This window comes from Homo sapiens, chromosome 3 (assembly GCF_000001405.40).
Source record: "Homo sapiens chromosome 3, GRCh38.p14 Primary Assembly".
Lineage (NCBI taxonomy): Eukaryota > Metazoa > Chordata > Mammalia > Primates > Hominidae > Homo > Homo sapiens.
In genome coordinates, this window is record NC_000003.12 from 197,476,328 (window position 1) to 197,503,383 (window position 27,056).

The following is a 27,056-nucleotide window of genomic DNA, read 5'->3' on the forward strand; positions in this document are numbered from 1 at the left end:
AGTCAGGTAAAAGGCCCTGCTCGTGGTAGCTGGTCAGGAAATAAAGAAGAAAGGCAGGAAGGGTGGAAAGAAGGGGAGAAGGGAGACTCTACGGGCCCAGACAAGTGTCTACTGAATTCAGAACATGGCAGGGTCAGCAGACGATTTTCCTTTCTTCTCCTTTGTGTGCACTTCTGGGGCTGCTAATGACAAGTCACAGCACAGAGTGTGAAATCTGCCGCTCTCCCAGGGGGCTCCGTCTCAGGTCATTCTCCTCACTGCTTCCCACTCCCTCACTGAAAAGCCTGCATCCAAAGCCCATTACTGGCTCCAGGGTGTGGACCTTGCAGGGAAGAACTGTGTAAGGACAAGACAAAGAGCAGGGCTGAGTGCCGAGTGCCCGGTCAGTGGGGAGGGGGATGTGCTGTGGGATGAGGAGCCCCTGGTTCCTCATCTCCTGGTTTTATCCTCGTCCTCCCCGCCCAGCGAACACCCTCCTCACCCTAACCGTCTATCTTGTTGTTTCCTGTGAGTTTGGTGTCCTCTCCTTCCATTAAAGCTTCCATTAAACCTCTCTGAGGTTCAAGTCTCTGGTGGCCAGACCTATTGTCTTACACATTTAGACAATGCTCTTCTGCTCATGGGCAGCCATCAAATATATGTGTTGACTTATAAAAGATATACCATCTCTTTTTTTTTTTTTTTGAGACAGTCTATATGTGTTGAGTTATTAAAGATAGACTTTTTTTTTTTTTTTTTTTTTTTTGAGACAGAGCCTCGTCTGTCACCCAGGCTGGAGTGCAGTTGCACGATCTTGGCTCACTGAACCTCCACCTCGCAGGTTTAAGTGATTCTCCTGCCTCAGCCTCCTGAGTAGCTGGGACTACAGGTGCCCACTACCATGCCCAGATACTTTTTGTATTTTTAGTAGAGACGGGGTTTCACCATGTTGGCCAGGCTGGTCTTGAACTCCTGACCTCAAGTGATCCACCCACCTTGGCCTCCCAAAGTGCTGGGATTACAGGCGTGAGCCACTGCGTCCAGCCTATAAACCATTTCTTAATCCAAAGAGCTTGAAGTGCAAGGAGACCCTCCCCTGAAGGCAGGGCTGTCTCCTGGAGACATGGGTGAGGCATATTGGGGATTCAAGTGGCCGAGTCTTCTGCTTCATGCTGCCCAGGCATCCTGGAGAGCTGCCGGATGAAATAGAAGACACCCAGATAAATTTGAATTTCGGGTAAACAATGAAAGTAGTATACGTTTATCCCATGCAATATTTGGGACATACTCATACAAAAAATTATTCATCATTTATCTGAAATTCATTTTAAGTGGATATCCTGTTTTTTGTTTGTTTGTTTGTTTGTTTTTGAGACAGGGTCTCCCTCTGTCACCCAGTCTGGAGTGCAGTGGTGCAATAATGTTTCACTATAGCCCCGACCTCCCAGGCTCAAGTGATCCTCCCACCTTAGTCTCCTGAGTAGCTGGGACTACAGGTTTGCACTACCATACCTGGCTAATTTTGTTTATTTTTTGTAGAGACAAAGTCTCACTATATTGCCCAGGCTGGTCTCAAACTCCTGGACTCAAGCAATCCTCCCATCTCAGCCTCCCAAAGTGCTGCAATTACAGGCGTGAGCCACTGTGCCTGGCCCATCCCGTATTTTTATTTGCTTAATCTGGCAACCTTTCCTTAGAGGCTCCTGGAACGCGCCGCTGCAGTCATTCCGGCGCACCCAGTTAGAGCTCCTGCTCTGGGCCACTGAGACCAAAGAGAAATGGTGTCAGCTGTGAGAAACTTGGTAAGTTTGTAGATTGTTGACTTATTCCCTCCAAACAATTTTGCAACTAAAAAAGAAGGAATACTTTTTTAGAATTCCTTTTAAATGTAGGTTAAAATGTGTTTTGTCATATTGTATATGTTAGATATCATAGAATCTATTAAATTTAAACAGGAATTTACAATTTACAAGAGTGTGGCCACATACATTCTTTTTTTTTTTTTTTTTTTTTTGAGACGGAGTCTCTCTGTGTCACCCAGGCTGGAGTGCAATGGTGCAATCTTGGCTCACTGCAACCTCCACCTCCTGGGTTCAAGCGATTCTCCTGCCTCAGCCTCCTGAGTAGCTGGGATTACAGATGCCTGCCACCACGCCCAGCTAATTTTTGTATTTTAAGTAGATACAGGGTTTCACCATGTTAGGCAGGATGGTCTTGATCTCTTGACCTCGTGATCCACCCACCTCAGCCTCCCAAAGTGTTGGGATTACAGGCATGAGCCACCGCACCTGGCCATACATTCTTTACTCTCAAGATTATTCCCCAAAACACCTGGACAGGAAGGTAGACAATCACCACCTGTTTCATAGTTGAGGCACCCAAGGCCCAGGGAGTTAAATGATTTGCTGACAGTCCCAGGAATAGTTACAGTGCAGCCAAAGCAGGTCCTGAGGCTTAGGCTCCTGGTTCAATGCTCCTCACTCCTGTACAGCTTGCCTCCTGCTCAGGCTATTGGACTCCAAGTTAATTAGGCAGCAAAGAACTCTGGGAGGAGCTGAAAATGAGGGGAAGTGCCTGGAGAGGCTGGCATAGGGTGAGCAAAGCAGAATGGCATGTTTTAATTGATTTTTGATTGTGCCAACGACTGCAGGCTCCTAGGGCAAGCAACTGCTGCTTCTGAGTCAGCACCCTTGCGTGAGGCTCAGCCTTCCCAGAGTGCAGGCATTGCTGGCTCTTTTTGTTCTCCCCCGAGCTCTTTGTGTGGGAAGTGGGTCTGTACAAAGCAGAAGGTTTCTTCTTTAATTGGCCAAACAGCTGGGAGCCTGGAGTCCTGGGAATACGGTCCAGGGTCACCTACAGCTCTCCCCATCCTTCCACCCAGCTTATCCTGGAAGCCCCAAGAGACGCAGCTCTGCTGATGCAGCTAGACACAGCTCCGAAGACACCACAGGAAGCTTTGGAAGCACAATATACTTTGTGAAGAAATTTGAAAACTTCAGTGCTACTTAGCAAGTTTCTTGGCATTAGCAGTTATCCAGGGACTCCCAGCGGGTATCTACCCAGCTGGAGAAAGAAATATTCCAACAGGAAGGAAGAAACTCTCCAATCTCACTGCAGGCCTGGATATTTGGAAAGATCTCATCACCAGACAGGGTGAAGGACACTGGACTTTGACTTTTGGACTCACATAGCCAATGGCTTGCTTGGCGTCTTCACAAAGATATCTAACAAGCATCTCAACCCTAACAGAACTCTCGGTTCCTTCCCTCTCATCCCCAACATACGCCCCCACTAATGTTCCCCATTTCAATAAAATAAATGGTTTTGGCTTAAGCCAAAAGCCTAGACTCCTCCTCGATTCCTCTCTTTCTCACATCTCCACAGCCAACCTATCGGCAAGACCTTCTGGCTCAGCCATCACAAGGTATCTCGAATCTGTCCACTTTCACTCCTTCTTCATTGCTGCCATGTGCTTCCAAGCCACCAGCATCCATTCAAACAACTCAGTTAGGTCTGTCCGTGGCCACCCTGGCTCTATGACAACCCATTTTCCCATACAGCATCCCGAGACCCTAGGCGACCTGGCTGCTGTCTACCTCTCCCACAATGAGCTTCTCTTCCTTCAGGTAAGAACTGGAATGTTACATGACCCTGTTCAATTTCATCAGTGTACTTAGAAGAATCAGCCATTTTAATACTCGTTCATTTGTGTTTGTTGTCACGCCTCCCTCATTTGATGAGGGTGGACCATGTCTTATTCTCTGCTAATTTGCCAGTTTGCATGTATGTTCATTTCCCAGGACACAGTAACAAAGTACCACGAACTAGGTGGCGTAAGATGATAGAAGCTTAAGCCAGGCATGATGGCACGCATCTGTAGTCCCAGCTACTCAGGAGGCTGAGGCAGGAGGATCTCCTGAGCTCAGGAATTTTAACTTAAAAAAAAATTTATTTCTTGCAGTTGTAGAGGTTAGATGTTGGAAATCAGGGTGTTGGTGGAGCCATCCCCTCTCTGAAGCCTCTAGGGTAGGATACTTCCTTGTCTCTTCTAGCTTCTGGTAACTGCAGGCTTTCCTTGGCTTGTGGCAGCATAAATCCCATCTCTGCCTCCATCTTCATATGGCAATCTTCCCTCTGTATGGATGGCTCTGTCCCTTCTCCTCTTCTTATGAGGACGCCCAACCATATTGGAGTCAGGCCCGCCCTGCTCCAGCATTACCTCATCTTAACTTGATTACATTGGCAAAGACTGTATTTCCAAATAAGACAAATTCACAGGTACCAAGAGTTAGGGCTTTTGGCGGGGATACAACTCAACCCATAATAATGTAGCATAGTAGACCTCAAAAACCATTTTAGAAATGAAGGAACAGTTTCAGTCAATAAAAATACAGTGAGCTCACTTCCAGAGCAGCAAATACAAGAACTTGGGGCTCAACATGCAGGTAGAAGGAAGACTGAGACTGTATAAAGCCTAAGCAACTCACTGGAAAGGGACATCCAAAGTAACCAGTTATTTGGCATTGCACGATTTTTTAGGCTCTTAGAACTGAATTTAAAATTTTTCCTAGTGATCTCAAAACACTAGCCATCAAGGCAGCCTGTAGCTTATAAATGCCTCTAACGATACCCTGTCTTTGGCTCTTCACAGAGGAGTGGGCATGTGTAATGGCTGAAGATACAAAAATGCTGAGAAATGATGTGACTTTCCTAGGAAATGGCAGGGCTGGGATGGGGACCCAAGCTAGGCTGACTCCAGAACTTGGGTATTCAGAAAGGAAAGTGATTCTATACATAGATTCCATTAAACACACACACACACACACAAACACACACACACACACTACAAAAAAAGACTCTGTGATGAGGACCCTGTCACAGAACCCAAGAAGGATGAAATCTCAGGGGTGAGATTAAGTCTCAAATGACTTTAAGACAAAGCAGAACGTCCTAAGAGTGTCGCCACAAGTTCTAATGAAACTCAGATATGGGACTGTAAGTCTGTCTAGCTATGACCCTTAGGGAGAGCTTCATGGCAAAGGAAGGTGCGGAGTGGGGGAGGGAGATCTCTTTGATCTGGGTCTGGAGGGGAAAATGCAAATTTCACAGGTGAAAATGCATTCTGAGAAGAGGAAATAGCTTGAGCAAAGGAGATAGAAAGGATAAGATATATTTAGAAATATGGGGAACAGAGGAAAACATGGGCAAAAAGTGAGTTGGGACCATCAGCTGATTCTTCATGAGGACCCTTTAATGGGAGTAACACTGGTTTGGGGTTCCAGCCCCAGCTCAGGTCCCCCCGCCCTGGGCCTCTGGGCCTGTTTTCTCATCTGTAAATGAGAGCGTTTCCCAAAGATGCTAAGTGGGGCCTCATGTTCTTCAGAAAAGCTGCTTTAATAGGTTTTCCCATTCAACTGCCTGGTAAGACTTCATCTTAATGGCTGGCCAGGTGCGGTGGCTCACGCCTATAATCCCAGCACTCTGGGAGGCCAAGGTTGGTGGATCACCTGAGATCAGGAGTTCGAGACCAGCCTGGCCATCATGGTGAAACCCCCATCTCTACTAAAGATACAAAAAATTATCGAGGCATGGTGATATGCACCTGTAATCCCAGCTACTCGGGAGGCTGAGGCAGGAGAATCGCTTGAACCTGGGAGGCGGAGGTTGCAGTGAGCCGAGATCGTGCCATTGCACTACAGCCTGGGCAACAAGAGCAAGACTTAAAAAAAAAAAAGAAAGAAAGAAAAGAAAAAAAAGAATGGTTTTCATGCCTTAGAAATGTCTAAAAGCCATTGGTCTCAATAAACAAATTCCCTCTAACTGTATAATCCTATTTCTTTCTGCTGTAGGCCTGAGCGTTTGTCTGGTTTGTTATTCAAATGAAGCATGACTCATTTAGGATTTACCAGCTTGCTCCGAATTGTCTGTGGCTGTATTAAGTCATTTGACCTGTTTCCAGTGGAAAATCCATTTTTATTTACATCCTTAGGTGAAAGAGCCTGATGGGGCCAAAAGAGTGCTAGGGAGCAAGTCCGAAGCCCTGGCTCCGTGCTGTGATAACAAACATCATTCATAAAGAAGTATAGACCAAAGAATATTTGAATACATGCTAACTAGCAACACCATCTTGGGCAAGCCTCCTTGTCTCTCTGACCCATCCCTCAAATGGGAACAATGCCTACCTGGTCTGCCTCACAGCATTTCTGTGAGACTCATATGAGAGAATGCATCTGAAAGTTCTTTACAAACCGTAGAGGGTGGTGCTAGGGGAATCAAGGCTTGGGAGAGCAGCTCTCCTGGTCGACTGTGGCGGGGCAGTTTGAGACCTCGGGAAGTGACTGATTTTCTCCAACAGCATTTCTCGGCTTGCGTGTTTGAAAGAATAAGCAAGAAACAATTAATGCATCTGCTGCCTTTCTTAGATGTTTCACCTCACCCCAAGTCCCGTCTAGCCTTCTCAAGGTCACTGAAATGAAGCTTTGTCATGAAAACTGGCAGAAACCTACTAGAAAGAGCCCTGGCCAAGATAAACCCCAGGAGAGACAGAGGCAGAAGGTCTCTCGTAGCTTCCGCAGATGTTGATCAGTTCCTCACATCATTTGGCCAAGGAATGAACGGGCATAATTTATGCTGCAGTTTAAGGAAGCACTGATTCTTCCATCGAACTTATTCACTGTCAGTTCATCTATTTACCAAAACTTAACCGAATGACATCTCCCTCTTGAGCCCAAACCACCATCCCTACCAGTTTTTCTAACCTTGCATTGCTAGAGCTATTTCTCAGGTGATTTCAATATGCTAGTCTTCTCAGTGAAAGAATTGAAACAGGCCAGGTGCAGTGGCTTGTGCCTGTAATCCCAGCACTTTGGGAGGCCAAGGCAGGTGGATCACCTAAGGTCAGGAGTTTGAGAGCAGCCTGGCCAACATGGTGAAACCCCGTCTCTACTAAAAATACAAAAATTAGTCAGGCGTGGTGGTGCATGCCTGTAATCCCAGCTACTCAGGAGGTTGAGGCAGGAGAATCTCTTGAACCTGGGAGGTGGGGGTTGAAATGAGCCGAGATTGAGCCATTGCACTCCAGCCTGGATGACAGAGCAAGACTCTGTCTCAAAAAAAAAAAAAAAAAAAAAAAAATTGAAACATCAAGAGATTGCAGCACTAGCTGGGCTGTCAAACCGGAATGACAGAAAAAATGCCTTTGTCCAAACACAATCCAACGTTCTCCATCTTATGGAAGCTACATCCCTTAGCCTGGCTGAAAGTGGCTCCAGTCTGGCCTCATTCAGGAGGCAGCAAGGACTGGTGGAAAAAACCCTGAGCTTGAGCTTGTCTCTTCTGCTCTTTATGCCTCAGTTTCCCTTCTGGTCCAATAATGAGGTTGAACTAGTCCTGCTATAAAGCTTCACTCATTTTCTGAGGTGGCGGTGGGGCTGAGGTGTAACACTGGGGTAGGAAGGAAGCTGAAAGGATACAGCAGTTCTGCTTTTAGCAGGTTGACACATTCTGAGTAGAGTTTCCTTTGGCAAAGGATTACTGTGCTGATTAAAAAATGCTTAAAAAACACAGGCCTGGCTGGGCATGGTGGCTCATGCCTGTATTCCCAGCACTTTGGGAGGCCGAGGCGGGTGGATCACCTGAGGTCAGGAATTTGAGACCAGCCTGGCCAACATGTTGAAACCCCGTCTCTACTAAAAATATAAAAATTAGCCAGGCATGGTGGTGGGCACCTGTAATCCCAGCTACTCAGGAGGCTGAGGCAAGCGAATCACCTGAACCCAGGAGGTGGAGGTTGCAGTGAGCTGAGATCTTGCATTGCACTCTAGCCTGGGAGACAAGAGTAAAACTCCATCTCAAAGAAAAAGCAAATCAAACAAACAAACAAAAAAAAACCATAGGCTTTTACCTGATGACTCTGAGGCTGCCCTAACAACTTTCCTTCCCTCTACCCTTGCGAGAAAACGTGTGTATTCTTACTGCAGTGACTTTACTCGAAACTCCCATCCCAGCACGTAATGCTCAAACTCCAGTTCCAGCCTCATCTCCTCCAAAAGCCAACGTGCCCATGAGGCTCTTCTCTGCTTCTTCTAACAACCCACTGGTTATACCAGGAGCCATGCCTGCCTTAGAGTGCCTTGTGCTGGGTGCCTCAAATGTCCCCCTACTTCCCCAACAAGATCATGAGACTGCTGCGGCAGGGACCCAGCTTGGGTCCGGCACTAATTGAGGACACAGGGATACCCAGTGAGTGACTGGATGTTGCAGAAGGCCACATCACTGACAGGGCCCTGAAGCTGAAGGTTGTTTAGAAGAGGGTCATACCCAACTCGGAGCCCCTCCCCATTTCCAAAGTGGGGACTGTGCAAAGAGCAGAGAGCAGGTGAATTCCCAGAGCTGGTAGAAAGTGGAGCGGGGTCTAGGACAACGCAGAATGATCCAGACGGGCTCGGCTCCCTTAATAGCTCCCCAATACCCTCTGTCCCTACTCCCAGCATGCTTTGGGTAGGCTCCATTGCCTCAGGGATTTACATAGGTTCCCTCTCCTCCTCTCTCTTCCAGTCCAGCCATTCCCTCCTGTGAAGAGACCAGATCCTGCCTCTGATCTGTCTCTGTCCCTGACACTGGACGAGATTGAGTGGGTCCCCTCTGCTCTCTGGCCCTCAGCTTCCCAGGTCTTTTCCAGAAACCTGCCACCCCATTGCATGAATGCCTTGCTAGGGTGGCCTGTTAGGTCGATCCTGCCTGTACCCTGGGGGCCTCACCATTGACTCTCCCGGGCTCCGCTCCCTGTGGGGCCATTCCCCACCCCTGGGTCCTGCCAGCCACAGATGCTGAGCTCCAGTTTTCTTATCTGTAGAAGGCCAGCATCCCAGCCCTGATACTCTGAGATCCACTCAATTCAAAAGGATCTTGAATCTGCTCTGTAATGCTCTCAGCACATTAGACCACCTGTTCCCAGCCTGAGTGGATATCCCAGGCTTAGCACCCCCGGCAGGAGAGTTGAGACAAAGACAATCTTGGCTTCTCTGATATCGTTCACATTACAGACCAGGGGAGCCTGCTCTGGAACAGCAGATGCCTTGGGGTCTGATGGTATCAGTGACACTTTCTGGGAAATAGACATAATCAGCCTGACCCGCAAAAGAACATCCACTAGAGCTGGGTGCTGAGGGGGACAGTGGCCAGCATGCCTCCACTGTCGGGGGACGTCTGCAGTGTGACCTTGGAAAGAACCCACTCCCTCTTTCCCTCCTTTTCTCTCATTCACAAACATTTATTGAGCATTTCCATGGGCCAAGCCCTCTGCTAGGACTTCGGGCTTCGAAAGCATAGTCCTTGCCCTAGAGAGCCTTGTAATCTAATTGGAGAAGCAGAAATACGAACCTGTAACTATAGTATTTTCCCCCCGCCAAACCCCAGTTTTCTCAATTCAAGTGTTACTCTGTGATACTGTCAGCACATTAGAGCACCTGTTCCCACCAGTTCTGCTGAAGTGGCAGGCCACAGTCAGCAGGTGACCCGCAAAGAAGAGTTAGTGATAAATGATGACTTGAATGGCATTGAGAGCGGTCCACAGTGTGGCTTGCTATGGCCAACAGACTGCTGTGGTTTGGTTCTTGCTCTCCAAATTTCCATTCCCTCAGCTACTGCCACCAGCAAAGCACTCGAAAGCTGTAAAGATTATTTTCAGCATGTCCAGGGGCTCTAAGAGAGACCAGGTGAAAGACAGATTATACTGTTGGTACTAGAGCCAGCACGAAACTCAAGCTCCTCTGATTGTTGGTCCAGGCTCTCTACAGCCCCACCGACTCCACATCCTTCCCTTCCTTGGCTAGAAATTGAGGAATATGAAATACATGTCTGGGTGAATAACAGGCTGTCAGGTTAAAACTGTTCCACAGGATTTCAAACGACCTGGAATTAGGTGGCCTGGGGTAGTACTTAACTAATGTTTTTCTGGCTGGTGGAAAATCTCAGATGTTAGTTGGGCAATTCCTTCCTTTTTTTTTTTTTTTTTTTTTTGAGATGGAGTCTTGCTCTGTCACCAGGCTGGAGTGCGGTGGCACGATCTCGGCTCACTGCAACCTCCGCCTCCCAGGCTCAAGCAATTCTCCTGCCTCAGCCTCCTGAGTAGCTGGTACTACAGGCACATGCTACCACACCCAGCTAATTTTTGTATTTTTAGTAGAGATGAGGTTTCACCATGTTGGCCAAGATGGTCTCAATCTCTTGACCTTGTGATCTGCCCGCCTCAGCCTCCCAAAGTGCTGGGATTACAGGCGTGAGCCACCGTGCCCGGTGAGAATTCCTTCCTTTCACATCCACATCTTTCTCTGTCTCACACATGCCCCATACTAGCCATCCTCCTTCCTCTCTGTTTCTCAAATTGAAACACAATTAAGGACAAAGAAAATACTCAGGTTATTGGACACATTTGCAAATCTTCACAATCCCACAGAGGGCCTTTAGCCCCCGATGAGAACCAGTGGCATAATAACCCCTCTTGGGAACCAGCGTCATTCTCCCGATTCTCTGTTATGCATCAGTCTTGGTCACCTTTCTTTTCTTTTCTTTTTCACGCTTGTCTCTGCTTGGTATCCTCTAGAATTTGGTTTTCAATGTCCTTGCCTTACATTTGCAACATCTTCAGAGAAAGTGGTCCTAGCCCATCCCAGCTCCCACAGGCTGGTATTTCTAGTTTCCTGGCCAAGGAGGGCACACCTTTCAGGTACACAGAGATACAAAGGCTGCCAAATATTTCTCATTGCATTGTTTAGCTGGAGTATCTCAGGCCAGAGACAGGGACATGACCAGGCAAACTTCAGAGGAAGTTGTGAAGCTGTGAGAGGTCTTGGAATAAAAAAATGGATCTAGAGCTCTTCTATTGCTGAATGGGCCATGTGACTGCTGCCCATTCTATCAAAGTGGAAGCCAAACCAGTCCCTTCCCTTAGAGCTTCCATAGATGAGAGGGTACAGGGAAGCAGGAGGGATGGGGTTGTTTTTACTCTTGCACACCAGCTAAATATCAGCGCTGGTCTCCAGAGTAGAGAAGCCGTCTACGAGAGACTTCCAGGGTATCTGTGCTGTCTCTGATACCAAAGCATCCGGGCACGGCACAGCAGCTCATGCCTATAATCCCAGAACTTTAGGAGGCCGAGGAGGGCAGACGGTAGCTCACGCCTATAATCCCAGAACTTTAGGAGGCCGAGGAGGGCAGATTGCTTGAGCCCAGGAGTTCGAGACAAACCTGGGCAATGTGGCAAAATCCTATCTCTACAAAAAATATAAAAATTAGCCAGGTGCGGTGGCGCGCGCCTGTAGTCCCAGCCACCTGAAAGGCTGAGATGGGAGAATTGCTTGAGCCCAGGAGGCAGAGGTTGCAGTGAGTGGTGATCCCGCCACTGCACTCCAGTCTGGGCGACCGAGTGAGACCCTGTCTCAAAAACAAACAAACAAAAAATGTAGTTCGACCCACAAAATATCTCAAGATTGTATTTGATTGGCTTTAGCTTGGGAATCAACTTTCATCTTCAATGGCACTGCTGTTTTGCAGGACAGCTTTTGACTCGACATAGAACAATATCCAGCAGTTTCTTCCTGACATTGCTGGATGAACACTGAGGCACATGATGAATTGTTGTGCTGAGAAACTCTGAGATGTTGCATGGGTCACGGCTGCTGTGAGAGTGACTCACAGAAGCCCAGACCTGCCTGGGAGGCAGGAAGGGCAGCATTGAGGGACTGACGGGCCCTGGGCCATGACAAACAGAAGCAGATGGGATGAGGCCCACAGGGACATTGTGTCATTCACTGGGTGACCTGAGCATTACCAGAGGCAGACGAGACTGCCAGGAAGAGCACTGTTCTCTCATCTGGTGGGTTTGCAAACCTTTTTCTTTTACTATTTTCTTAAAAGAAACCTCTTCTGAATTCTGTCTGTGGCTTTGGTTGGGATCCAGCCAAGCTTTAGTTTAAAAATAAGACATATTACATTGTTACGGAATTATCAAGCTTTGGTCAACGTCGACATCAACATCATTAGCAAAACATGATTCAGGTGTTCGGCTGGGCAGACCCTCGCACATGGCAATCTAAATGAATAAGCACACTTCCTTCTCATTTTTGAGAATGTAGCTGAGAAGCAAAAATGAATACTGATGTGGATGAAAATGTAAAAGGCTTGCAGACACATACCGTGCACACCAAATTTCGGCACACAACATTAAGAAGGAATAAAAGGTAAGGTGCCTGATCCTTCGTCACACGTGTACCCACCTGATGGCATGCTGATGCCCATCAGTTGAGGTCGGTGGCGAGAGAAGGGTGGATTTGAAGGGTCATTTCAAATTCTTCTGAGTCAAAGTGGCCTAGACCAGGAGCCCCCGAGCAGAGACCATGGCTTTTAATTTTGAATCTTCACCATCCAACCCGGGGCCGAGTAGCTAGGCAGTAGTTTGATTGTAGTAACTCTTATCTTACTGTCATTATAATCTCTGCTGTTGAATGTCCCTGCATCACCTTCTAACTACCCCACCATACGAGGCTGTCATAAATGAGGGTTGATACTCACAGGTGTCTTCAGCTTGTCTCATTTTGTGGGAAGTGCACCATATCACTGTTCTGGAAGCTTTTTTCTCCAGAATTCCATAAGCTGGAACAACTATTTATGAACCTCATTTATAAGAGATGACAGTTGCCAGTAGTACAATGAAATACATGCTGTGAGAAAATGAAGTGTTCTAATCAATTAAACATACGTACAAGGCAGAATGAACTTTTATATCCCTCTAACCGGTACCCCAGTCCCCTGGCCTTTCCTGGGGCCTATGATAAGCCAAAGCTAGGCCAGCTCAAAGGAGAGGGAGAGTAGCGATTCTGTAAGAATATCCATACACAGGAACTGCGCCAAGGGGAGGCCAGCTGGACAGAGAGCAAGGTTAGCCTGCCTTCTAAAATCCACCGGCCTGCTTCTCCCACCGGCCCCCAGCACAGTTCCTGCCCAGGTAAAGCAGAACCCAATGTGACCAAAAGCCTGACCTGGACCCAAGGCATGGCCTGGGAGTGGGAGCAGTAGGTTGAGGAGGTCCGAAGGGGCAGGAATTGGGGTGTGGGTGGGGAGTGAAAGGAGAGAAGGCCAAATGTGGGGGGAGGCCCTCAGGCCAAGCTGGAAGGACCTGGGGCTGAGGAGTGCCCAGGGATTCCCCGACTGGACCCCTGACCTTCCCATACTCTGACTGGGAAGACACAGTGCAATCTTTTCTTCGAGACAGAGTCTCGCTCTGTCACCCAGGCTGGAGTGCAGTGGCGTGATCTCAGCTCACTGCAAGCTCTGCCTCCTGGTTCAAGCGATTCTCCTGCCTCAGCCTCCCGAGTAGCTGGATTACAGGTGTGTGCTACCACACCTGGCTAATTTTTGTATTTTGGGTAGCAACAGGGTTTCACCATGTTGGCCAGGCTGGTCTCAAACTCCTGACCTCGTGATCCGCCCATCTCGGCCTCCCAAAGTGCTGGGATTACAGGCGTGAGCCTCCGCGCCCAGCCCGACACAACTCAATCTTGAAGGGCTGTTTTGTACATCCTTCTGGATGCAATGGTGCATGGATAGGCTAAGAGTACACTTGTGTTATAAATTGAAAACCACTGCTCCCGTCCACTCTTCAGATGGACGTTCTGGGTTTGTTTTACATGTGTTTTTCCTTTCTTTCATAAAAGAAAAGGAATCATGTTGTCATCAGTTTTTTAAAGTTTGTCCCCAGCTCCCTCTACTTTTTCTGTGTCTGATGGGGGCCAGCCAGTCACAAGGACCTCACCATACTAGCAGGGTGCGGCCTTCTAAATGGGCATTTGTGAAGCTCTGGGTGCTGGCTGGGCGGGGCAGGGTCAGAGAAATGCAAAGTATTCCAGGCATTAGCCCCGGAATTTACTCCCAGCCTCTCCTCTGCCCACATCATAGCCCCACCAGGCTGCAGTCTTCTCCCCTTGGATCAGAAGGTGCCCCAAGGCCTCTCTTGGAGATTTTACCCTGTTGGCTCATCAGGAGAGAGGAAGAGAGGCTAGGATCAGAGGAAATGCCTAATGAATTACCATGAGGAAAGAAGAAGCAGAATGTGAGCAGCTGCCTCTGCTGGTTAGGTCCAGAGAAAAGATGTTTCTGGATCTATGATTTAGGTGGGCAGGCAAGCAAGCAATAGGAGAGCCCGCAGCCAGGGGAGAGAAAACTCCTGGGAGTTTCTGCTTTCTGAAGCCGGGGGCAGTTTGCCCAGCCAGGCTGGAGGTGATGCCAGAGGGCCTCGATTTGGGGGTGCCACCTCCTGAGTACAGCAAATGGACCTGACACCCTCAGTGAAGTCAAGATAAGAGGAAGGCTGGATGCCAAATGGGGACAAAGGATTAAAATAGGCTTTGGGGGCTGTTCTAACCCAAGGAGAGGAAACACGAGAGAAAAAAACATCCCTGAGTGACAGCCCCACAGATTCCCAGAAGTGGGATGGGAGTGGAGAGGGCTCATTATAAGCTGTTCCTTTTGCAAACCTGGGTGAGCTGCTAGAGCTTCTAGAGAACGAACATCCCAGGACATCTGGAATGAAGTGGGCGTGGGGAGACCCTATGATATCAACTCCACTGACAAATTGCAGTTTACCAAGCATGGTCAAAACCAGCATCCCACAGCACGTGACAACGGTCCTGGGGCAGTGTCATCATCACGCTGCACCTGTTTTACAGATGAGGAGACTCAGACATGTGCGAGGACTTGGCCTGCATAGGTGGGCTTCAAAGAGAGGTGTGAGGACCACTGGTCAGTACGAGGTGATTTCGTGCTGCAAGGGTAAATTATTATGCTAATAGACACATATTTACTGTAATGAGCTTTTAAAAATATAATTAGAACCACGAAACCTGTGATTTCAAGGATACTGTTATTTTTTTTTTAGGCAGTCTTGCTCTGTCACCCAGGCTGGAGTGCAGTGGCGTGATCTCAGCTCACTGCAGTCTCTGCCTCCTGGGTTCAAGCGATTCTCCTGCCTCAGCCTCCCGAGTAGCTGGAATTACAGTTGTGTGCCACCATGCCCAGCCAATTTTTGTATTTTTAGTAGAGACGGGGTTTCACCATGTTGATCAGGCTGGTCTTGAACTCCTGGTCTCAAATGATCCACCTGCCTCGGCCTCCCAAAGTGTTGGGATTACAGGTATGAGCCATCGCACCCAGCCGAGGCTACGTTTTAAAAGTGAGTTTATTTAAAGTTGGTTTCAACAAAGTGGTAAAGAAATCATATTACATATGGCAATGGGTTTTCCTTTTTTAAAAGTGCAAAGGTGGGAAACTATGTACTGAATGGTGGTAGTGATGATGGTGATGATGATGATGATGATAGCAAACTATCATCATCATCAAGTTTTATAACACTCGGTGCCAAGCACCTTGCATATATTAAATTATTTATTCTTGTGACATCTCACGAGGTAGGGATAATGATGACTTCATTTGACACACGAGGCTTTAGGGAGGCACAGGGTAAGGGTGGAGGGCTACATCCAGGTGCTCAGACCGCAGTGCACTCACTCCTGAAGGCGGCTATGGAGGCCCCTGGCCAGAGGCCCAGGTGCAGGGGTGTTGAGAACATGCCTGCTGGAATGGGGAGGGAGTCCGTGTATGCCCTCTCTGCTTCCGATGCAGAACTACAGGAGATGCCATATTTCACAATGGCATTGCTTTCCAAAGCAAATGGGGACAATCTGGTGGCCACAGTAAGGTGGTTTCATGAGCAGCTCCAGCAGCATTCTGCTTTGCACTTTGGGCAGAGGCTGCATTGCGCAGCTAATGGGAGGGCCTCGGGCGGAATCTAGCTAAGTCCATTTCAGACTGGCCTTGCTGCCAGCCCGCTAAACTCTTCCAGATGATTCTGGCTGGGTTTGAGAGGCTTTACCAGACAGGTTGTCTCTGTGTTAGAGGAGGGGAGGAGGATGTCTGCAAAATGTCTGAAGAGAGGGAAGAAGAGAACTCTGAGATCAGGTGGCTGCTGCAAAGGCTCACATGACGAAGGCGGATTGGGGAGAGGAACGAAGAGACAATAGGGCTAGTGGGTCCTAAGAACCTCTCAGCCAAGAGCACAAAACACAGCTGTGCTAGATGGGTGTAATGGCATGCACCCAGTCCCAGCTACTCAGGAGGCTGAGGTGGGGAGGGCCAATATGCTGCCAGCCTGGGCAACACAGCGAAATTCCATCTCTAAAAAGGAAGCCACAAAGGCCACAGTTGTGCTTCTTACTGTTCACACAATTGGTCAAAAATCTTCCAGCGCATCCTCTCATTCAGCGTAGCATTTAAGAGCAAGAGCTCTGGAATCCTAGATTCACCTCTCATTAGCTAGATGGCCTTGCTGAGGTCATTTAACCCCTCTGGGACTCAGTTTCTCCATCTGAAAAGTAGGAATAATAAAAGTGTCTCTCGTAGGGTACAGTAAAGATTACATGTGATGGTCTTGGCGCAGTACGGGACGTGTGTGAAGTACCTGCTGGTGGTAGCTGTCACTGTTGGCATCCCCCAGGTCACTGCCCCTCTGAGGAGACCCCATCTGGCTTGGATTTGTAAGTCCAGGCTGACCTACCACAGCAAAATTTTAGAAAATTCTTACTTTGATTAGTTAATGTCCCTTTTAATTTTTTAAAAAAGGTGTACATGGGCAAACGTACTGATTTCATGGGATATTTAAGCCAAAGTTAAGATATCAAAGTGGCCAGAAAAGGGTTCCAAAGTTGAATTCATGGTTTTTCTCTCTCAAACCCTGCTTTTCCTCCCGTGTTCCCTGTCTTAGTAAATAACTCCTCTAAGTGCTGGGAGGGTCTAGAAAATGACACCTCTTTTCTGTTTCCAGGTCCTGATCAGACTGGCTACGCCCTCCTTAGCTGACACTGCCTCCCACATTGCAGGCTTCTGAGGGGTGTGGGGTGGATACAGCCGGCCCCACCAAGCTCACTGTGTGGCCCAGAGAGCAGAGAGATCACATCTGTCTGTGGCAGGCAGGGGTGATCTGAAAACCCAAAAGGCACTGAGCCACCCCAGTCCAGTTCCTCCTCCCTAATACACCATCATATAAGGAGCGAGGGGCTGTTACGCTAACAGAAGACCCTCCACCAGGAAACATGAGGAGTGGGGAATGAGTGTTCCTCTAACACCATCCACCACAAACCTCAGAGTCACCTTAGACACACAGTCTCCCTCACCCCTACCTCACTCCATATTCTGCCTGTCACCAAGTCCTGTCAATTTCACTTCCAAACTAGGTCTTGACTCTGCTCTCTTGACTCTATTATACAGCCACTAGTCCAAGACAGTATTTATTAACTCTCACCTGGACTGCTTACAGGCCCCCTCATCCACTTTTGCTGTCTCTGATCTGTTCACACTGCAGGCCCCAACTCTCCTGACATGATTTTTAACAGTTCTTTGTTGCTCTTTGGTAAAAACTAAAATCCATCATGTGTGCCTGATGCCCTGCTGGTCTAGCCCCTGCCTACCTCCCCAGCCTCGGGCAGCACCACCATCCCTCTCACCCCCAGTGGGAGCTCCAGCCACCCTGCTTTGATTTCACGGAGAAGACAGGCTTCATTCTACTCAGAACCCTTTCTCGTGCTTTCTCTCTGCGTAGAATGCCCACCCTTCCTTTCTTCCAACCTTCCTTCCTCCCTTTCCCTCCCTCCCACCGACTCTCACTCATCCTCCACATCTGAACTCAAATGTCACCTTTCCAAGGAAGCTTCCCAGACAAGATCAGATCTCCCTACTAAAGATTCAAGGTTTTGTGATCATTTCTTTCATAGTATTGAGAGTTGATAATAAGATAATTGTTTGATTCTTTGATCAATCTCTGTGTCCCCATGATACTCTAAGCTCCATGAAGACAGTGGTTTTTTTCACCCCTCAGCCCCTGGCATAGTAACTGGCACATAGTAGATGCCTGGTAAATATTTGTTGATTGATTGAATTAGACAGAAAAATTATTGTAGAAAAAAATGTGATCCCAGTGAATGGTTCTGGAGATCAAATGTCCCTTTTCCAGGAAAGTGGGGCAGGCTAGGGAGACATGGGATAGGTTGTTTGTGTGTGAGTGGTGGAGGGTGCAGGGGAAAAGGGTTTGTCTGGGATCAGAGTTCAGCAGCTGGCAGCTCAACTGGTTGCATGGGAAACGTGATTATAGTGTCAGGAGGGATTAATGGAGTGGAGCAAAGGAGGTGGTTCCTGGTAGAGCCCTTCCCAGATCAGATGCATATGGGATTTGAAACCTGGAGGGAGGAACAGGAAAATGCAGTTGTTGGCAACAGCCACAGCAAACATCACCAACGTTTCTCTGGGGTGTAGGCTCCTCCAGGTTGCCGCACCCACATGTGAGAGGCCTTTGTCATTTCATGGGATGCACAGCACCTGCATTCCCTTTTTAGTCTTGGGAAATCCCCATGGCATGTGTCTTTCTGGGAGGCAGCCAGATTTGTTTTTCAAACCTGGTTCTCCAGAACTTTGTGGTGGGTCTCAATGCTACCCAATATCCTTGAATAAATTCCTTTTCTGCTTAAGTCAGCCAAAATGAGTTTCTCTTGTTTGCAGCCAAGAACCATGACTGGTTTAGTCTGGGGCCAGCAGGGAAGTGATGTTCGGCTTCTGCACGTAGCCAAGCACGTGGGTGCCACACATGCAGACACTCCGAGAGTGGACGGCGCCACTTTGGCGGCCTGAAAGTTAGGGGCTCCTCAGGAATGCGGCAGGGGGATGGTGACCATCTAGAGCCAGGAAGAGTCTTTAGATGGACTTGGGTGGAGGCCACAGCAGAGAAATCATTCTATTGTTGAGACATGTCCGTGGGTGGGACACCTGGTACACCCCAGACTGGGGCCTGGGAAGCACCTTTCAGTCGGAGGCCCAAGAACCCACAGCTGGCTCACGGCCTCGTGGGAATGCAAACCCTACCCCTCCCGGGACTTCTGGTACTTGTTGTGCTTTTCCTGAACAGACTGCACTCTAGTATCTGTTCAAGATACTTTTCCACTTCCATGACCCTGAGTCTACTACAAAGACTAAAATACGGGAGGAAATCATCAGAGCCAGAGTGCACTCACCACACTTCCCACACCTCAAATAATCGGATGTCAGAGCAGGGAAGGCCCCTGGGACCATCAAGTCTTGGGGTCTCAGATGTCAGTGGGCCTCAGAATCACCCAGGAGACTACTTCACATCATGGGTTCCCATGGATTTCCCCAAGCCCAGAGCTGATCCTCTCGGCCTGCTGTGAAGCCCCAGGATCTGGGTTTTGTACAAACTTTTCAAGCGATTCTCATATGAGTTGTTTAAATACAGTGATTTTCATCCTTCATCTCATCTTACAGAAGAAGAAACAGACTCAAAAAGAAATTTCCTCCTGACCAAAACCCCCCAGAGAATTGATTGCTGAGCTGAACACTGACCTCAGGCTTCCTGACACCCACTTTCCTAGGCTGGCCGGGCTCGGCTGGGGCATGGAGAGTGTCAGTTGCATGATTTTTCTTCACTTACAGGGCCCCCCGTCCCTTTCCTTTTTTTTTTTTTTTTTTTTTTGAGATGGAGTCTTGCTCTGTCACCCAGGCTGGAGTGCAATGGCATGAGCTCGGCTCACTGCAAGCTCCGCCTCCAGGGTTCCAACAACTGTCCTGCCTCAGGCTCCTGAGTAGCTGGGATTACAGGTGTGTGCCACCATGCCTGTCTCATTTTTTTACTTTTAGTAGAGACAGGGTTTCACCATGTTGGCCAAGCTGACCTCATGATCCACCCGCCTCGGCCTCCCAGAGTGCTGAGATTACAGGCATAAGCCACTGGCCGCCCTCCTTGCTTTTATAAGACGGGCTGCCTGTCATGGGAAAATGCTGAAAATAGGGACAGATACCCAGTGCTTATCTTGGCCAGAAAGGCTGCTATGGCCTTAGTGGAGCCGGAAACCCCGTAGACAAAGCCAGAAATGGATACAGCAGGACCCTCAGCCCAGGTTCCAGTTCTGGGTCTCCCAGTGATGTGCTGTGACCTTGGACAAGTCACCCCACTCCCTGAGTCTCAGTTTTGTCCAGTTTATAAAATAGGGACAACCCTGCTGTCTGCTGTCTGTCCTGCCTACCTTGCCGGCCTCTGATGTGAGTGTACTTTGAAAACTCCCAAGTACTGCCCAAGCAGAAGGGATTACTGACACTGGAGGTGTGACTAGAATACTAATTTCCACCCAGGGTCCCCTGAGGACATGCTGGGCCCATCTTGGAAACAGTAGAGGAAGCTAAGAAGCTGCCAGCAAAGCTGGAGGAGATTGTCAGAGCCTTATGGGCTGGCTGGCAGGGAGAGCCCTTCTGCTCACACAGCCCATTTTCTTCATGCTCCTGTGTCAGGGAAGGTGCCATGGATGAGGACACTCACGGCGGCAACTGTGTGTGTGTGTGTGCTGGATGAGGGTGGGGTATGGGAAGTCACTGGATCAGGGCCCTCCTGCCTCTGGCCTGGTGCTGCCAGGACCCTCCCCCCATCTCTTACAGTGTCCTGACTCAGGAGCCCTGGGAAGTACTCAGAGGATCCCCAGGGAACCCCAGGAAGTCACCCCCCACCCTTTCATGCCTGTTTTGGCTGTTGCAGCAGGTTTGAGAGAGTGGATGAGCTCAGTCACCCTCTTTCCTTCCTACCACATCAGAACCATTCTCCCAGCTGGTGGGAGTCCCTATTCTCTTTACGTTATGAGGATGCCAGGATGCTCACACAATGCTGCAAAACACTTGCTTTGTCACCTGGTCCAAGTCCCTTTATCTCTCTGAGCCTTTTTCTCATCTGTAAAAGAGGGGAGGCCGGGCGCGGTGGCTCACGCCTGTAATCCCAACACTTTTGGAGGCCAAGGTAGGCGGATCACGAGGTCAGGAACGGAGACCATCCTGGCTAACACGGTGAAACTCCGCCTCTACAAAAAATACAAAAAATTAGCCAGGCATGGTGGCACACGCCTGTAGTCCCAGCTACTCAAGAGGCTGAGGCAGGAGAATCGCTTGAACCCAGGAGACGGAGGTTGCAGTGAGCCGAGATCGCACCACTGCACTCCAGTCTGGCAACAGAGTGAGATTCCATCTCCATAAAAAAAAAGTGGGGCGGGAGTGCGGGGAAGCAATTCCTGTGCCTCCTTCCACTATAGGGCTGCTGTGTCGAATGAGAGCAGGTGAAGGCGGGCTTGTTACACTGGAAGGATTTCCACTCTCTTGTAGAAGAAGTCAGGACAGAGGAGGCCTGGACAGAGGACCCACGAGAGGGGATGGTAATAGAAATGTCCTCCACTCCAGGAGGCAGGAGAGCTCTGCAGAGTAATTTCATTCCCGTCTCTAGCTGGGCTGTCCCAGGGCGGCAGGTCCTTTGCCTCATGATGCACCCCGTTCTGCCGTGCTGGGCTCAGCCTAGAGGCTCTGAGAGAAGACGTGTCAGACTCAGGGGCATCACGGTGGTGAAACCCGGAGAAAAGTTTTCAGAGACCTAAGCAGACACATTCCTGGGCCCAGGTGTGAAGTCGTCTAGGCCAGTGGGTCTCAAACTCAAACATTTTTAGCAGAACGCTTCCGTGTCAGATACTTTTTTTTTTTTTTGAGACAGGGTCTCACTCTGGGGTCCAGGCTGGAGTGCAGTGGTGTGATCATAGCTTACTGCAGCCTCCAACTCCTGGGCCCACCACAGCCTCCTCAATAGCTGGGACTACGGTGCCACCATGCCCAGGCTAGATACTGCTGAAGAATCACTGGGACTTTAGGAAGTTCCGCTGATTTATGGCACAGATGGGGAAATGAAGCTCAAAGAGGGGATGGAATGTGACCAAAGCCAGGCAATAAACCAGTGGTTAAAACAAACAAACAAACAAACAAACAAGCAAACCCACTTCAAACGCAGAGCTAACCCTCGGCACAGGTGCGCTTCAGAGAAAAATGGAAAGGTTCCTTCATTGAGGGGTCTTTTACACAGCCAGAGGATGGAGGCTCACAAAGGGGCTAGCGGATAGGTAAATAGGGGCCATTTATTGACATAGTTGCAATAAACAAATCTTACTGGGCAAGCAGGAAACTCATGGTCTCCTTTGAAAATGGAGGTGTTTCTCAAGGTGTGCCTGAGGCACTGAGCCCCTTTCTGAAATAAAGCAGAAGCAGGTGAAGCAGAACAGGACAAATGGACATTCCTTCCAGCTGCTTCAGCCCTGGCCCCCTTCCAGTCTCCCCAGAGCACTGGTGGCCAGGCTTTGCCAGTGGCCAGCGGGAGACTGACCCAGCCGCACAGAGGGCCCCAGGTGTCTCTCAGCGGTGGCCATAGGACACCTGAATGAGCCTCGAGCCAGAGAGAGTGACTTTTTGGCGGGGCTCTGCAAGTGGCTTTCTGCCCACAGCTCAGGGGTGGGAGTGAGGAGTCAGACCTCCAGATCCCTCCACCACGTTCACTCGGGACAGGTGCATGAACGGCGGCGCGATCCGCACAGGCGAGGAGACGACCGATGGGGGCGGACAGCCGGACGCACGGCTGCGTCACTCACCCTCAGCGACCAGGGCCCCACGTCCCTAAGCGCGGAGCTGGGGGAGGGGTCGGCCAGCTGCAAGGCCGCGGGGCCGGGAAGGGCCGGGAGGAGGCGCCGGGGCGGCCGGGGCTCCCAGGGAGCCGCTGAGTGGGGGAGCCGCGCGCAGCATCTGGGCCTGGGGCGGGCGCCCGGGGAGCGCGGGGTGTCGCCAAGGGGGCCGCACGACCCGCCCGCGGTGAGCGCAAGGCCCGCGTGCCCCAGCTCTCCTCGGTGGGGATTTTCCTCACCTGGAAAACACACGGGTTATGGAGGGGGTGGTGGTTAATCGTCGCACGGGGAAACCGGCAGACAGGTTCTGATCGAGCCCTTCATCCCAGTCACAGGTGGCAGGTGCCGGGCGCCACGACCTCACTGTGCAGGGCGCACGCTCTCTCCCCGCCCTCCCACACCCCAGCGGCCCCAGGCCCTGGGGGATTCTCAGAATGTTCCACGTGGAGCAGCGCTTGGAGAGCCCCTCCCCTAAGGGCGGGTGGGGGGAGGAAGGGCGAGGGTTTAGACCCCCACCCCCATTCCACCCAAGCACCCCCACTTTGTCTTTACTGCATTGAGACTTTGCCTGAGAGGTCATTTAACCCAGGGCCGTGACTAAACACAGCTGCCAGGTCCTCTTTCAAGTCTCATTTTGACTTCGTGGTGCACGCATGACCTTGGGCCACTTAGAAACCTCGGTGTCTCAGGTTCCCCACCCATAATAGTAATAGTACCTCCCTCATAGGGTCCTGGGAAGGATGAGTGAATAAACGCTTGTGAAGTGTTTAGAACATAGTGAGTCTGGATGACTCAACAGATTGTTTGCTGGTGAGCTGGGTGTGGTGGCCTACGCCTGTAGTCCCAGCTACCTTGGGAAGCTGAGGTGGGAGGATCGCTGGAGCCCAGGCGTTCAAGGCCAGTCTAGGCAACATAGCCAGACCTTGTCTGTGAGGAAAAAAAAAAAGATGTGTTAGATGTTGCTGTTATTATTATTACTATTGTTTTCCAATGAGGAGAGTGAGGCCCAGAAAGGATAAGGCGTTTGCTGCCTGGACGATGTGGCCAGTTGGTAGTAGAAGAGGGAATAGTAACAAGGCTTCCTGGCTGCCCAGATGGAATCCATTATTTCTTGGACATTTAGTGGTTGCTGCTTCATGGATATCTTTGAAGCTAAACAGATTAACAAAAGCCCACTTGGTGGTAGGCCATGCTGCGTAAGGAGCCTCTGGTACCACCTCCATGATCCTCAGGAACAGGAGGAGTGAGGAGAGGAGGAAGAGGGAGAGAGAAAGGAAGGTGGGGATAGAGGGAGGAGGTGGAAGAAGAGGAGTCTTGAGTCTTCTTAGCTCAGCCACTAAACGGGAGGTGGTCTCACTGGGGATGCTTCTGAGAGGACACTTTCATTAAGAAGAACTAAGCCAGGCATGGTGGCTCACACTTGTAATCCCAGCACTTTGGGAGGCCGAGGCAGGTGGGTCACCTGAGGTCAGGAGTTCAAGACCAGCCTGGTCAACATGGTGAAACCCCGTCTCTACTAAAAATGTAAAAATTATCCTGGTGTGGTGGCAGGCACCTGTAATTTCAGCTACTCGGGAGGCTAAGGCAGGAGAATCTCTTGAACCGAGATCACACCACTGCACTCCAGCCTGGGTGACAGAGTGAGACTCCATCTCCAAAAAAAAAAAAAGAACTAGGCCAGGCATGGTGGCTCACACCTATAATCCCAACACTTTGGGAGGCCGAGGCAGGCAGATCACCTGAGGTCAGGAGTTCGAGACCAACCTGGCCAACATGGTGAAACACTGTCTCTACTAAAAATACAAAAAAAAAAAAAAATAGCCAAGTGTGGTGGCACGTGCCTGTAATCCCAGCTACTCAGGAGGCTGAGGCAGGAGAATCGCATGAACCCAGGAGGCAAAGTTTAGAGTGAGCTGAGATTGGGCCACTGCACTCCACCCTGGGTGACAGAGCAAGACTCCATCTCAAAAATAAGAAGAAGAAGGAGAAGGAGGAGAAATAGCCCTCTAAAATATTTCAAGTTTAAGAATTTTGTTCAGAGAATAAGGATGAGAGTTTGGTTGCCTATTGTCTCAGCCTGTTTTGTGTTCAATTTTGGCTCAGTCCCAACCTCATGAATCTCTCCTTTCAATCAAAGAGGAGCTGCCTCTTCATAGCCCAGGTGATGTCAGGGAGGCTGTGGCCAGCATGGCAGGAGCCCTCTTCATTGCCTGAGGAACAGTAAGTGCTTGCACCCAGCAGTTAGAGACAGTCTGGTTCTGAATCCTGTCACTTTCTAACTAGGAAAGATATTTAAACCTAAGCTTCATTTTAGTTATCTATAAAATTGGGATTATAAATCTTGCCTTATAGTATCACTGGGAGAATCAAATGGGATAATGCATATAACATGCTTAACCCAAGGCCTGGCGTGTAGGAAGCACTTAATAAATGCTTATTACTTAGGATCAGATGTGGCTTCCTGCCCCCATGTGTATGCGATGGCTTCCTCATCTCCTGTCCAACTGGACTAGGGGTTCAGTTAGGATTTGCTTTGCATACAAGGAAATAATTCCAAAACTGTAATAATGCAGAAAAGGTGGAAGTTTATTTCTTCTCACATAAAATCTGAATGAGGGGTCAAAGGTGGAATGTGGTTCCCCAGTGTCTGGGATCCAAACACTATCTTGTTGCAATGTCATAAATATCTTGACTTTATGGCCCAAGATGGCAGCATCCCAAGTTCCAGGCTGCAGGATGAAGTGCCGAAGGAGCCAAAGGAGATGCATATAAGCTCCCCTTAAGGAAGGTTCCTGGAAACTGTTGTACCACCATTTCTGCTTACATCCCATTGGCCAGAACATAGTCACATGACTACCCCCTAGCTGCAAGGGAATCTGGGGAAATGTAGTCTTTATTATGGCAGCCATGTGCTCAGCTGAACATTGGTGGATCTATCCCTATAGAAGGGGAAAATGAATTATCAGGAACATGCAGCAATCTCTGCCCCCAAGTCCCAGCTTGTCTAGGCTAGCTAGGCACCTGGAAGCCAAGTACCTGAGCACTAGAAAACCGGGATGGGGGCATGCTGCTTCTCCTCAGCCACCCCCAGTGGCTCAGTCTGCAACTGAGAACATGGAACTGGAACCGAAACTTAGGCCTCTTGCCATGGGTCTGAGAAAGCCCTGCCCTGTTTAATCACCTCCCTGACGCGTCCCAGCCTCAACACTAAAGGCAGGAGGGATACTAGAGAGGCAGCTGACTGCCCCCTCCTGGCCAAGGAGAGGACAGTGAGCAAAGCTGCAGCTCCGAGGGGCAGAGGGCACAGCAAGCTGGCAGGCTTGGCACAGCCTGGTGGAGTCGCCCACTGCAGGACACACAACTACAAATTGTGGGAAGGCCGGGCCACCAGCCAGTGCCACAATCCAAGTGCCTAACTGGAAGGATCTGCACTGGGGGCTCCGCCCTTCTTCATCCTGTTAATGAGAACACTCGAGCAGGCCATCTGGCCTTTGCCAGGCTCCCAGCACACCTGTCTCCTCTCTGTCCTGATGTCTCTGAGAAGGGGAGGAAAACTTGCCTGCATCTCCCCACACTGGCACTTCTGAAACAAGCCCTCCGGCCCTTTCTGCTCCCGGAGTTTCACTCCTAGTAGCCACCAGGGGACAGAAAAAACCACAGCCACAGGTGCTCCAGCTCTCCCTCTCCCAGGCCTAGCCCCAGGTCTGTCACTAACTCGGGATGCAGCATCCCCGTCTTCTCTGACCCCCCTTTTCCTTGCTGTGCCTTGAGTCGCTTTTTAGATATAAGTTTCCTGGGCTCCACTCAAGACTTACTGGTTCTGTTTTTGAACCAGTTTCCCAGGAGATTCATGTGCGGTGCGTTTAGGATCCAAGGGGCTGGACGGCTTTCACAGTCCAGCTTAGAGTGATCTGGTTCTGACAGGACAGAGCTGTCTGAACAATGTCCTGGGGGATGGGGCACTCCTAACAGCCCTTTCTTCCCAGGGGCTGGAGTTCTTCAAGCCTCCCCAAATTATCCACTTTCCTTTCAGAGTCCATCCCCCTGAGGTGCTAAGCCATTCTCATCCTGCTCTGCTAGCTGGGAAATGTCCCGTCAGGTGCCCCACCTCCTGTTTCTATCTGTCAAAACCCTCTTCACTTGTCAAGTCCCAGCTGAAACACAACCTCCTTTAGGGAGCATCCGTTACCTCCCCAGTGAGAATTTCCTGCTCCTTCCTGGGCTGCCATGAACTTTGCTCATACATCCACTATAGCCCAGGCTGTCCTGAGTGACAGCTCTCCAGGTTGGTGCGTCCTATCTGCTCCACCCCCTCACGCCCTCAGCCCCACAGGACTGGGAACTCCTTCAGGCTGGGAATCAAATCTTACCATAGATATCCTGCAGCCTGATTATAGATCACTCTCAACCCTGAATGCTTAAAGAGAAAACACAGGAAGCCAGGGCCTGGGTAGGACAAACTGAGTGCTAACAGAAAGAGTCCAGGCCGGGCGC

The 27,056-nt window shown here is 49.7% G+C and overlaps 1 long non-coding RNA gene across 1 annotated transcript, besides 6 other annotated features; it reads left to right on the forward strand.

Moving 5' to 3' along the window:
• Positions 1-1,658: 1,658 nt before the first annotated feature.
• Positions 1,659-3,324, forward strand: LOC105374309 (uncharacterized). Its single transcript, XR_924902.1, has 2 exons — positions 1,659-1,781; positions 2,861-3,324. It is a non-coding gene; the product is annotated as an uncharacterized LOC105374309 (long non-coding RNA).
• Positions 1,971-3,170: an enhancer, noted in NCBI's record as "BRD4-independent group 4 enhancer chr3:197205169-197206368 (GRCh37/hg19 assembly coordinates)". NCBI's record gives its function as "activates an origin of replication core promoter dependent on BRD2, P300/CBP, MED14 and CDK7 cofactors, and independent of BRD4, by STARR-seq in HCT116 cells {active_cell/tissue: HCT116}" and the evidence as "EXISTENCE:reporter gene assay evidence [ECO:0000049][PMID:35650434]".
• Positions 13,633-14,178: an enhancer, noted in NCBI's record as "H3K27ac-H3K4me1 hESC enhancer chr3:197216831-197217376 (GRCh37/hg19 assembly coordinates)". NCBI's record gives its function as "activates a minimal SCP1, AML or CMV promoter by ChIP-STARR-seq in naive H9 embryonic stem cells {active_cell/tissue: H9 hESC(naive)}" and the evidence as "EXISTENCE:reporter gene assay evidence [ECO:0000049][PMID:30033119]".
• Positions 13,633-14,724: a biological region, named in NCBI's record as "H3K27ac-H3K4me1 hESC enhancers GRCh37_chr3:197216831-197217376 and GRCh37_chr3:197217377-197217922".
• Positions 13,911-14,205: a silencer, noted in NCBI's record as "tiled region #14551; HepG2 Repressive non-DNase unmatched - State 7:EnhWF". NCBI's record gives its function as "represses a minimal TATA promoter and a strong SV40 promoter by Sharpr-MPRA in HepG2 cells {active_cell/tissue: HepG2}" and the evidence as "EXISTENCE:reporter gene assay evidence [ECO:0000049][PMID:27701403]".
• Positions 14,179-14,724: an enhancer, noted in NCBI's record as "H3K27ac-H3K4me1 hESC enhancer chr3:197217377-197217922 (GRCh37/hg19 assembly coordinates)". NCBI's record gives its function as "activates a minimal SCP1, AML or CMV promoter by ChIP-STARR-seq in naive H9 embryonic stem cells {active_cell/tissue: H9 hESC(naive)}" and the evidence as "EXISTENCE:reporter gene assay evidence [ECO:0000049][PMID:30033119]".
• Positions 25,964-26,127: a silencer, noted in NCBI's record as "fragment chr3:197229162-197229325 (GRCh37/hg19 assembly coordinates)". NCBI's record gives its function as "represses an EF-1alpha promoter that drives an FKBP-Casp9 reporter gene in an ReSE screen in K562 erythroleukemia cells {active_cell/tissue: K562}" and the evidence as "EXISTENCE:reporter gene assay evidence [ECO:0000049][PMID:32094911]".